The sequence below is a fragment of the Homo sapiens genome, chromosome 8, assembly GCF_000001405.40.
Source record: "Homo sapiens chromosome 8, GRCh38.p14 Primary Assembly".
Lineage (NCBI taxonomy): Eukaryota > Metazoa > Chordata > Mammalia > Primates > Hominidae > Homo > Homo sapiens.
Window position 1 is genome coordinate 101,487,046 of NC_000008.11, and position 12,527 is coordinate 101,499,572.

The following is a 12,527-nucleotide window of genomic DNA, read 5'->3' on the forward strand; positions in this document are numbered from 1 at the left end:
ACAAAAACAAACAAAAAAACACAACTGAATTCTTCTGCCCAGATGCCATAGAATGGCATCGTTTTCCCCAAGTCTCACTATAATAAGAGATTCATCATAATGAAATGACAATTTAGCATCAAATTCTAAATACTTTTTACAATAAGAAAACGAGATTAGCCATCTTAATAGATGCTAAAGACCATTACTTAAATGATAATCAAAATAACACTATTTTTCCCCAGGAATTTAATTAGAATTTTTACCTCATAAATAAATAATTTCATTAGAAACAGCACTATCTTGTTACCAGTTTTTATATGAACATTTGCTTTGTTGCTGCCTCCTAAAATAACCATCAAACTCTAAACTGTGCTGAAACTTCCAAGTTCATGATGCATACTGCAGCAGATTCCAGGATCATTATTTTGAGGAGCTAACTACTCCAACTAAGGACAGTGGCCAACCATTAAATAAATAATCACTAGGTTGAGACTGGAAGAATCCACACAGGTAAAATCCATTATTTACTCTATGGCTGTCTATTGCAAAACTGCATGTTCAGCATAATTTAGGATGATGGTCTTCAATGGCTAAGGGTGTGCAACTTTATGCTGTCAGAATACTGTACTGTGTTTCTCAAATTTTAAGACGCATCAGAACCACCTATAGGCTTGTTAGAAACACAGGTTCTTTGAATTTCTGATTCCATGGGTCTGGAGTGAGTTGGTGAATCTGCATTCCTAACAATTTCCCAGGGGATCTGATGTTGACAGTCCATCCAGGGACCACACTTTGGGAACCACTGCTGTACTTAAGTGTTTATGAATAAAGATATTTGGAGACAGAGTAGTAGAGTCTCATGGTGAGCGTGGCAGAAACTTTCATATTTATATACTACTCTTCTGCCAAAGGAATCAAAATATTTGGGTAACAGGTAATTTCATGGTTGACAATTTAAAATGGTCCTTTCGAACATTTTCCTTTGCTAATCTAACCAATGAATACAGCAGTAGTTAGCCAGTAGGGGGACAACAAGCTATCTGAACAAAGTTGAGTTATTAGATACCAAAGAAGAAGAAAAGATTCTTGACTATCATAAACCAACAAAAGGAATGGTTTAACCATAAACACTGGGTTTCTTTGCACAGACAATTTGGGACAGTTTGGTAAAATCTTTTGTATAATTTTGGAAACGGACTTCAGATTAAACGATTAAACACACATATTTATCTTCATTCTCCCCTGAAAAGGATAGTAAAAGAACATGAAGGGATAAATCCAAAGGGGCAAAGAAGATAGAGGAGGAGTCATCAGCAAAAGCTATATTTCAACACAATTCTGAAGAATAGAGAGGGTCGATGGAGGAGTGAAAACTAGTTTAACAGAACAGTGAAAGCTACACTCTAATATGGCCATAGTGGTCAGTACAGAAAGAGCCCAATTCCCTACAAAACCCTAGAGTGGTCTGGGCCTTGGAGATGACAGAGATCACTAGAAGAAAATGCTGATGAGGGGCCCCAGGATCCCGGAAGGGTGAGGGAGAGGTGAGCAGCTAAAAGCAAGAGGCCAGGTCAATGTTGGCACTTGGAGTTGCTGGAGTCTCAGGTGCCCTGTCCCACTCCTCGCAGTCAGCATGAGAAAGAGGAGAGAGGCTTGTCCAGCAGGCACAAAGAAGGGCAGGAATAAGGCAACTGCCGGAAAGGAAAGAGTGTGAAAGATTGCACCCTAAGCAGTTACTCATCCAGACCTCTTCCCCTGAACTACTTCCAGAACACTGGCAGCCAAGTGAATGCCTCCTCAGGCAAGAGATTATAAGATATTTCTCATGAGAAACTGACAAGCCCCAAAGAAAAGACATCTAGCTTCTGACATTTGAGGTATCTTCCCATGAAAAAATGAGCTTTCATCTGATCACCATACAGCAAACCCACCAGTGAGCAAGCACATTTTTCTCACCCACATATAGAGTTTCTGGTGAGGTTTCTATTACCTCATTCCTACTTATGAAAGGAGAGGAAAAGGTTTGCAGACAGTTGATGAAAGCCTCTAACGTGATGGGACGAAAACAAATACATGAGAAGGGAAGCTAGAGAAAGCCAAGACAAGGCAGGAGGCAAAGAAAGCCCTACAGTAAGTAAATACTCTCAAAAGATAGAAAAAACTAGTGCGACTGTGACATAATCACTAAATTCTCTTTATAACAGACAGCATGAAATGAGCTCTTTAAATAGTTGAGGTAACAACTGCAGTAGAAAGTAAAGCAAGAAAATATCTTCCAAAATAGGACAAAAGGTGAAGACATGTGCAACAGGAAAAAAAAAAAAAAAAAGAACATTCTGAGATTAATCCAGTTTAAAAAATAAATAATAAGATTGAATAATAATTGAGAATTTAATAAGTGCCTGGTAATGTTCTAAGTGGTTCAGACATATTAGTGAGATAATTACTATTATAATCTCCATTTTATAGATGAGGAAACTGAAGCACAGCAAAATTAAGTGACATTCTCAATAGTAACACTGGAAGCTAGAAGATAAAAGAGCAATTTTTGCCTGTAATCCCAGCTACCTGGGAAGTTGAGTCAGGAGGATCACTTGAGTCCAGGATTTTGAGGCTGCAGAGAGCTATGACCATGTCACTGCACTCCAGGTGGTGTGACAGAGTAAGAACTTGTTTTTAAAAATTTAATTAATTAATTTTTTTAGAGACAAGGTTTTGCTCTGTAGCCCAGGCTGGAGTGCAGTGTCATGATCTTGACTCACTGCAGCCTTGACCTCCCTGGGGTCAGGCAATCTCCTCTCCTCAGCCCCCTGAGTAGCCGGGACTACAGGTGCACACCAGTATGCCTGGTTAATTTTTGTATTTTTTGTAGAGATGGGGTCTAGCTACATTGCCCATGCTGATCTTGAACTCCTGGACTCAAGTGATCCTCCTGCCTTGGCCTCCCAAAGTGCTGGGATTACAGGTGCAAGCCACTGTGCATGGCCTAAAAATTTTTTTTAATTAAAAAATTAAAATAAATAAGTGAAAAGCAATTTCTATAAAATTATGAATGAAGAAATTCTGGTAAGAATTCTACACTTGGTCAAACTCTAGTAAAAGTAAAAGTTGAATAAAGACATATTCAAGTATGTAATAACTCAAATTTTTACCTTCTGTACCCTTTCTTGGGCTGTTACTAAAACATGTGCCATGGAAAATGAAGCAGTAAACCAAGAAAGAAGGCACAAAACACAGAAATGGGGGTTCTCACACTACAGATTAAGGAGTGTCCCAGGCCGGGCACGGTGGCTCACACCTGTAATCCCAGCACTTTGGGAGGCTGAGGCAGGTGGATCACCTGAGGTTGGGAGTTCTAGACCAGCCTGACCAACATGGAGAAACCCCGTCTCTACTAAAAATACAAAATTAGCTGGACTTGGTGGTGCATGCCTGTAATCCCAGCTACTTGGGAGGCTGAGGCAGGAGAATCACTTGAACCCGGGAGGCAGAGGTTGTAGTGAGCTGAGATCACACCGTTGCACACTAGCCTGGGCAACAGAGAGAGACTCTGTCAAAAAAAAAAAAAAAAAAAAAAAAAGAGTGTCCCAGGATGACACTTGAGAAGCGGATCCATAGAGCAACTCATCTCCACTGAAACAGTAGAACAATGAATTTCTGGAGGAATTGTTTTCAGGGCAAAATTGGAATTGATTGTTTGATCATTTGGAAAATAAACATGATAGTCATTTGATAGATCAGTTGTAGAAAAATATCAGGATGGGGCATAACAAACTAAGTAAATAGATACAAGGTTTTATAAGGAAGAAAACAAGAATAGTACACTATTGGCTGTGTTGTCATTGCTATTGGCATAGTCACTTACTTAGCTCCTAAACTGTGAAAGTGCTGTGTTGGAAGGAGAAGTTGCTTGGCATGAAAGAGCTAAATCCTAATCTGAAGCAACAGGTAGTCAGAGCACAACATCTATTGGCAAATCAAGAGATGGCAGTACAAATTATTTAGAAATAGGGAGGTAAATGACAGAAGAGACAGATAAAAGCAGAATATGGCTGCCTCTAAAAAGGAGAGGAACATGATAGGTATTGCATTATCTTAAAATATTATATTAAAATAGTACCTGCATTGTCTTAAAATATATTATTTCTTTAAAGTGTGTGTTTATATTGTTTTTTAAAAATACAATTTTGAAATTTATTGTTGAAAATGGACACATGGAACAAACCAAACCTTGTTTTATCATGTAATTTTCAGAAAATATGTGATCCATAAAGATTAAAAGAAAGTTGTATTAAGTCTGGCAGCTTTAGTATTAACTTGAAATAAAATATGGCAAGCTTTCCACGTCCTCCTTTATTTCCACAATCCATATGTACGAGCTAGATTCCAGTCAGAACTTCCACAAATACTTCACTCTTTGGTAGCAGCGGTTATAAATTACGCCTTTGCTAATTTGCGTTGTTCCCAACCAGGAGAAACATTACCACAAAAAAAGTCAGTTTCATCCTGCAGTGTTCCCGCAGCAACCATATTAAGCTGGAAGAATAAAGCTCCTTTGTAGTAGTAGCGTCTATTGAATTACAATGTAAATGTTGATGCCTGCCTGGAAACGTCAAATGACAACAGGTTTACAGAACGAATTCAGTGGTTGTTTGCAGCTCTGGAATCCCAGGCTGCAGAGTTGAGATCGAAGAGGTGCGTCTGGCCATCTTAGCGTTCATTCAACCAAATCTCCTCACTCCATCAAAACCACGCCACTCCCCACCTGCCCAGCTCGTAAAAGGATGCTCACCTGTTTGAAAATCTGTAATATATCTGATGTCTTTTACACAGCAGGACACGAAAAAGTGTTTGTTGTGGATAAGAGTGTTAAAAATTCAATTACGCAACAGACCAAACTTTGTGCTTCTTTCCCCCTCTCAGCACAAAGTAACTTTAGTCCCGTCCTCTTCTGCCACTGTCAAACAGCCCTGTTACTGTGGGCATTAAATGCCTTGTGGCGTACTGCGCATTTGATTCTGGTTGACTTGGGATACCTGAGCTCGGCTCTCATTAGCTCTTCCGCTCGACCCACAATCCCTAGTGTTTGCAGGTGTTGCATTCCCCCAACCCCTTTCTTCTCTTCAACCAGTAGCCTCCACCTTCCCATCCCTGCTTTGGAGAAGGAGGAAAACGCAGCTTGAGATCTACTCGAAGAACTGACCCTCAGCTCTCACAGGCTGCCGCCGAGCTGCAAGCATGCCGCCGCTCCACTCGGGTAAACTTCGGAGTGAGTTACCTGCACTCGGAGAAGGGCCTTACCTGAGCGCGCCTCTGCCAATGGCAGCTCACCTGAGGGAGCTCCCCAGCCAATCATCGCGCAGCTCGTCCCTCGGGCTTGTACCCTTTAGTGAAAGAATTCAGCTCCTTGCGAGAAAGTTACCTGTGGCCGCCCAAGTCCGCCACTTTCTGCTCTGTGTCTGCCCATTGCCACGATCCAGGAGGACTCCGCGCCGCCCGGCCGCCTCCGAGCTCGGGCCCCATGTGAGGGGCCCCCCCTTATCCCACCTTTCCGGCTAGGTGAGGGCGCGAGCGGGCGAGCGAGCGAGAGTGGTGAGGGGGGACGGAAAAGCAGAATTACCTGTAGCTCTTGTTCTGCCATCTCGGGCGCTCTCACACACCTTCACCTGCACAGACTTGAAAGTCCAGTTTCACCAGAGGCTGAGGCTCCAGGAAAAGCGGAGCAAGTTCATTGGATCAAACATGTCACAAGAGTCGGACAAGTAAGTGGATCACACGCGCCGGCTGCTGCTACTACTACCACTTTGGGCTGATGGCAACTGGTTTGTTATGTTTTTGTTTTTAAGTTGCTATTGTTGGTATTTTTCTTTCTTTTTTCTTTTTCTTTTTGGTGGATCCAGACTTTTCCGCATTATGTTTCTACCCTGATTAAGGGGAGAAACCCTACAACAATGTGAATATTTAATATCCCCTTTGGGCCTTGATAGTAAAAGTGGGTTTTCCTTTTCCTTCTTCCCTTAGGAATGGTCTCAGCTCCCGCTCCTGGATGAATACTTGGATATTGCCAGAGGTTTTGGTAGATGGGCGCGGGAGGCCTGCTCTTCCCTCTCTGTTTTAGCTGCTCCCACCGATCTGGCGTTTAGGGCCATTTGGAAGTTCAGCTGAGTTCCTTCGATTTGTCCAAAGGGCCTACTGGAAAAGTGGGGCTTGGCCGCTTTTGTGTGACCGCAACAAAGAGCTTTTATATGAGGCAGAAACGGCCATCTTCTCGCACCGGGCAGGAGGGTGGGCGTGAGTGCGCGCCCGCGTGTGGCCCCGATGGGAGGCGAGGCGCTGGGAGGCCGGGGGGCGCGGGGGCGGCCGGCGCCGTCCCCCACTCCCTCGACATCCCGCCTTCCTCCCCCCTCCCCCGCCTCCCTCCCCCGGGTCCGCCCCCGCATTGTTTGGCCACCTTCCTCAGGTGCCCGGGGGGAAAGGACGGTTCGCGAACTGGGGGAACTCATGTGAGGCCTCGAGTTAGGGCCTCGGCGGGGCGCGAAGGGGCGCCTGCCACTGAGCGATTCACCCGCGCCCCCGACGGCGTCTGCACGCCCCTCGAGCTCGCGGCCCTCCACGCAGTTGGCCGCCACCTCGGACGCGGCAGGCGGGACTGCGTGGGGCGCGCCGAGCCTTCTCGGGGTGCTCTCGCCGTCAAGGCCGAGGGCTCGGGGCGGCGGGAACGCTGGGCTCGCGTCCTTCCCGTCCCGGACAGGCACTCCAGACGCGTCGGGGAGCCACAGCCTGCGCGGCCGGAGCCGCCCGCGGGTCACTGGGCCCGGTCCGGCCGCGTCCTGACGGCCTCCCCCCTGGCCGGCCCCCGCCCTCGGAAGGCTTTGTGCGAGCCGGGGGAGGTGGGGCCTGGGCGGGCGCGGGAGGGAGCCGGAGGTGGGTCCCGCGGCCTTTCTCGGGATTCGGCGGGGACACTCCCTTCCCCCTCCTCTCGGGCGCGTCCGGGCCTGGGAACTGGCTGCGTCCTATTGGAAGTGCGCGGGGCCGCCCTTTTGCTTTCCCCGGTAACTTTGCCGTGGCGTTGCGGCCACCCCGAGGGGACCTTCCTGAAGGTGTCTCGCCGGAGAGGGCCGGTGCCCCAAGGCCGCGGGCCGCTGGGCCTGTCATGGAGAAGTGGCGGGGACCCGTCCCAAGTTGAGGGACCACGAGGGAGGAGTGGGAAGGCCCTGCGGACCTGTTCAGGGGTGGAGGGGAAGGACTAGCCTCAACATAAAGCCGCTGGCAGGTTAGGCGAACCTAAGAAAATGCGCTGTCATACTTAAAAAGCAAAAAACTGCCAGATAGTTGTACCCCGTTAGCCACCGATGAGGAATTAACCGAGTACAGCATACCGGAGGGGAAGAACTAGCGTTACCAACACGGGAGCGGGTCAGAGGCAGGGTAGGAAGAGGAGAGTGTGTGGTTGTCTGAGAACACCCCCAGCTCCTCCCCATATCTCTCTAGTCTTCAAGGAAACACGACTCGAGTTTGAAATTTTCAGTAGCCAAATCCGGAGGCGACAGCAAGTTTTTGGGGTTTGTTTTGATCTTTGCCTGCGTCAAAGATGATTGCAAATCTAATTTAATTAATCGCGCAATTAACATTTAGTTTGCTTAGTTTTGTGATACAACAGAACTCGAATTCTGAATGAAAACGGGTCGGTCTTTATTTTCACCAGTTATACTTAGCAGCAATAAGAACAATGTGTTTACCATCAGAAATAAGTACTGAGCGCCCGCAATCTGGTTTCACCACACGCATCACCTGGTTTTTACAGGTGATAAGTATCTGGGATTACATATGCTTGCATTTAATGAACGTTGCTTTTATCTAGTCGTGGTTTCCAAGACGAAATTTTGTATCCTGGGAAAAGTAATCGTTACAATGGTGCAAGGAGATAATTCAACTGGTTTGTTTCTCTCTCATTGGGCTGTTGAAAATGCTTTAAGTCAATACATGACTTCTGGATCATTTTTGCGAATTCTAGCCTCGTTTTCTTAATATTCTAAGGGAGCCCCGGCAGGGGTGGGTCTGAAGCTTATGCAACTATGTGTGTGACATGGGGTGGGGACTGTAAGTAAACGGGCCCCTGGGTACAGCGTGGGGCTTCCTTCCTGAGCAAGTGAGAGGCTTCATCAGCCTCATGGAAAATCCACCTTACGAGGCCTGCCTGTAGTTTCTGGAAATAACATGAACGAACACACACTGGATGTTCTTTCATAATCCCATTGAGATTTAGGCAATCTTTGGGATTGCACAGGAAGATATTTCTGGTTAACAAGTCTGGACTGAAGTAGCATCGTCTTTTTTATGGTGTGGACTTTTCAGATTGAAACGTTCTGCTTTTGATGTTCTGCAGTGTTGATGCTATCGCCAATTAAAACAAAGTATTTTTAGGACATTTTGTCTTTGTACATATTTTAAAATTCTCTACTCCATCTTAAATTTTATGAAGATTTAAGATCTTTGTCAGCAAGCATGTGTACAAGTGAAGCAATGCTAGATTAAGAAACTCTTATTTTACTGCCAAAATGTATAAAATATATTTAGAGAACGTGTAGGTACTATGTGATTTGATACTCACAGGTGTTTTTCATTAGGTAAGTGTATTTTCTGGTTACCTACTATTTGTAACACATTCAGATAGGCGTAATAGAGGCATGCGAAGATGGATAAGATGAGCCCTGTTCTCAGGGGGCTTACACTGTAGTGGAAAGCAACTCATGGACAGACATACTTCTAATAAACACAATGCTTAATAGTCACAAAAAATACAACAGTTACAAAAATGTTTTTAAAAATACAATACAGGGGCCAGGCGCGGCGGCTCACACCTGTAATCCCAGCACTTTGGCAGGCCGAGGCAGGTGGATCACGAGGTCAGGAGTTCATGACCAGCCTGATCAACATAGTGAAACCCTGTCTCTACTAAATATACAAAAAATTAGCCAGGTGTGGTGGCAGGTGCCTGTAATCTCAGCTACTTGGGAGGCTGAGGCAGGAGAATCCCTTGAACCTGGGAGGCGGGGGTTGCAGTGAGCTGAGATCACACCACTGCACTCCAGCCTGGGTGACAGTGCGAGACTCCATCTCAAAAAAAAAAAAAAAAAATACAGGTCATGATAAACTGCCTCTCCCTACTCATCGCATTTTTGCTTATGATAATTTCAGTCATTTTGTGTGTTTTTTGTTAAGGAGTCCTGCTATTATTCAGAAAATGGCTGAAGTTATAGGTCTCTCATGTGGATAACATTTCAAGTAATGGGATGACTCTACATTTTAATTAAACTCTCTAGTCTTTAGTTTTATAAATGCATATGCTTGTTTACATTTGGCTATGCAAAATTTCTTTTAAGGTTAGAAACGTCAAGAATTTATCATATCTTTTTCAAACCAATACATATACCCATTCACTTTTTGAAAGAATATGCCTTGAATGCCACTATATACTTGGCATTGAGATTCACTGGTGAATAGAACTTAGTCCCTGCCTGCATGGTGCTTACTGTGTGTGTGTTGGGGGTGGGGGAAAAGGGGCAGGCTTGTTGACACTAAATCAACAAAAAAGTAAACATATATTTAATTAGATGATGATAAGTGCTATGAAGGAAAGCAAAACCAGCTGGAGGGATTGAGAATAATGGGGAGGTCTTTTGTATAGGGTGATCATGGACAGCTTCTCCAATGAGGTGAGCTTTGAGTGGAGGCCTGAGTGAAGTGAGGGATCAAGCCCTAAGATACCTGGGGTAAGAATGTTACAGGCAGGTGGAAGAGCAAGTGCCAGGGCCCTGAGGTGAGAGTGTGGTTAGCATGGTCTAGGACCAGAAAGGAGCTCTGTGTGGGTGAATCAGAGTCAGAGATAACGGCACCATCAAATAAATTAACATGATCAGTTCTCTACTTAATAATCTGGACAGTTGCACACTCAAAACAGTCAAAATTATTCTTGTAAGTGGTCTTGGTAATCAAGAGATAGTAATACCTAAGGAGTAAATGATGAACCTTCAGTCTTGTTTCTTTCCCTGAGTATCACCAGTTTAATGTTGAGGGGTCCAGAGTTCTGTTCCCTACAATGGATTAAATCTTGTACACTCCTTGATTCAGAGATGAATAAGTGCACACACTCTGGAGGATCCCTGGGGATTGAAACTAAAGAGAGACAAAGTACAGATAGTGTTTCCTCAGACACGCCCACCTCCCTAAAACTTGTAGTGTAACCTACTACCTTCAGCTACCATCTCCACTCCTTAACATTAGGCTTGTGCAAGGTAAAATTTGCCCTTGCTGCCTTCCTCTTGCTCTTGTTCAGTTTCTATAAACTATATCCATCAGAAAACATGGATTTGTCCACTGTGTCTGGAGGAACACTGCATAGCATGTGCTTTAGTGAGTTTCCCATTTTCAATGAAGTAAACTGACATACAGGCAAAGTTAACCTAACTGAAAAACAAGTTGTAGATGATGCACATGCTTAAAAATAGGAATCTCCACAGGAATTTCTAAAATCATTGCATCTCAAACTCACCTGAGTTTAAAACATATAAAATATCATCTGAGGCACCCTGGGTCCCAACCCAGCAGTGTTGAATCAGATTCTCCAGGCGAGAGCACAGGGAATTTCCATCTAAACAATGTTCCAGGCATTATAATTGCCTTAAATAGGGCAACACTGCTTCAAATTAAACTTAATGTTAGTTTACATAATAGATGCAATTTATATGCAACTTTTCAGGTGTATATCCAATGTGTAAGTGAAAGAAATCTGTGGACTTTTACTTTATGCTACCTTGGATGAACAGCTTCAGATATGATTTTAACATGGATATAAGACTTCTTAGGCCTGCCCTAGATGTTGTTTGCTTTCATTGTTTTGCTGAACTGCTGCTTCTGGAAGAAAGGGGTCTTTTTGAAGGGGAATATGTTTCCAGAGCTGCAAAAGAACTGATTTGAAGTGATGTCACCCACATGGGCCTCCATCAGGCCTGCCAAAGGTCTAGCTAGGGTTTCTGGCTGAATCCCACTCATGTGCGAGCTGGTGTTCAATTTTTATTTATTTACATTTTTATTTATTTATTTATTTTTGAGACAGAGTATTGCTCTGTTGCCCAGGCCGGAGTGCACTGGCACAATCTTGGCTCACTGCAACCTCCGCCTCCCAAGTTCAAGAGATTCTCCTGCCTCAGCCTCCCCAGTAGCTGGGATTACAGGTGTGTGCTGCCACGCTCGGCTGATTTTTTGTATTTTTAATAGAGATGGGGTTTCATCATGTTGGCCAGGCTGGTCTCAAACTCCTGACCTCAAGTGATCCACCCACCTTAGCCTCCCAAAGTGCTGAGATTGCAGGCATGAGCCGCCATGCTTGGTGTTCACTTTTTTGAGGACTGTTGTTTCACTGAATTCAGATTCTATTTTGTAGCGCAAAGTCAAAGGTAAAGAGCTCTAGTTTGATGCTGGTCTCTGGTGAAATGATTTGATAGGATGATGATTGCAGTTTCATTTCTAAGGCTCATGGTAGCTTGAAGTATTACTCTGATAAGATGGTACTAGATCTTCTGTTGGCCTACAGCGAGGGTCTGTTTTAAACTGACTGCAGGGTCTGGGCCATTCAAATGATCCCAGTGCCACCTGACTTAAGGGAGATTAGGAGTAAGTATTAGAGCAATCAATGAAAAGCTATGTCTAGCAATTTCTACTAGGCTCAGGAAAGTAAAAGGAGAATTTAGAAAAGTAGTTGGATAAAGCCGGGCGTGGTGGCTCATGCCTGTAATCCTAGCACTTTGGGAGGCCGAGGTGGGCGGATCACGAGGTCAGGAGATCGAGACCATCCTGGCTAACACAGTGAAACCCCGTCTCTACTAACAATACAAAAAATTAGCCAGGCATGGTGGCGGGCACCTGTAGTCCCAGCTACTTGGGAGGCTGAGGTGGGAGAATGGCGTGAACCCGGGAGGCAGAGCTTGCAGTGAGCTGAGATTGTGCCACTGCGCTCCAGCCTGGGAGACAGCAAGACTCCGTCTCAAAAAAAAAAAAAAAAGTACTTGGATAAATCAAACATACACAGAAGCATTTAAACAACATTAACAGTACCCAATCACCTGAAGAAGTGTTTGTTTCAAATGTACAGAAGATTCAAATCAGATTTTTTGGATGTTAGGTTGTTAAATTTACTTTTTAAAAAGTTTTAGATAATTCAGGCAACTGCCTCAGTTCCTCTTTATGGCTTATGGTCTAACTATAGACATACGTTTCTGGTTAAAAAATTAACTATGGTTACATAGTATTTTTCCCCTTCCTTACTTCCTCCCTTATTTAAACTAACATTTTCTTCTTGTTCCCTCCTTCCCTTCTTTCCTTCCTTGGTTTGTCTCCCTAATGTCACTTTCCTGGTTTTTTTTTCCTCCCATATTAACTTGGTGAGAACTGCACAGCTTCTGCGCATAGAGATAACGGTGAGTCTGATTTTAGGTGCTGCTATAGTTAGTGAACTTTGCTGCATTCTTTCAGTATTTACAGCATCA

At 44.4% G+C, this 12,527-nt stretch overlaps 1 protein-coding gene and 1 long non-coding RNA gene across 9 annotated transcripts in view, besides 1 other annotated feature; one reads left to right on the top strand and one right to left on the bottom strand.

Moving 5' to 3' along the window:
- The window catches only part of GRHL2-DT (GRHL2 divergent transcript), a 31,748-nt gene extending 26,088 nt beyond the window's left edge, over positions 1-5,660 (bottom strand). The window contains exons 1-3 of one of the 5 annotated variants that reach the window (NR_186784.1): positions 5,603-5,660; positions 4,775-5,265; positions 4,212-4,585 (exon numbers count right to left, since the gene is read on the bottom strand). This is a non-coding gene — a long non-coding RNA (GRHL2 divergent transcript). The other 4 variants (NR_186783.1, NR_186782.1, NR_186785.1 and 1 more) reach the window with 4 other exon arrangements.
- Positions 5,394-12,527, top strand: part of GRHL2 (grainyhead like transcription factor 2) — a 188,762-nt gene continuing 181,628 nt past the window's right edge. For 2 of the 4 annotated variants that reach the window (NM_001440447.1, NM_024915.4), the window contains exon 1: positions 5,394-5,744. In NM_001440447.1, coding sequence (NP_001427376.1) covers positions 5,725-5,744 — 20 coding nt within the window. In that variant the 5' untranslated portion in view covers positions 5,394-5,724. Of the gene's footprint in view, positions 5,805-12,527 lie in introns of all 4 variants that reach the window. The other 2 variants (NM_001330593.2, NM_001440448.1) reach the window with 2 other exon arrangements.
- Positions 5,412-5,940: an enhancer, noted in NCBI's record as "H3K27ac-H3K4me1 hESC enhancer chr8:102504685-102505213 (GRCh37/hg19 assembly coordinates)". NCBI's record gives its function as "activates a minimal SCP1, AML or CMV promoter by ChIP-STARR-seq in naive H9 embryonic stem cells {active_cell/tissue: H9 hESC(naive)}" and the evidence as "EXISTENCE:reporter gene assay evidence [ECO:0000049][PMID:30033119]".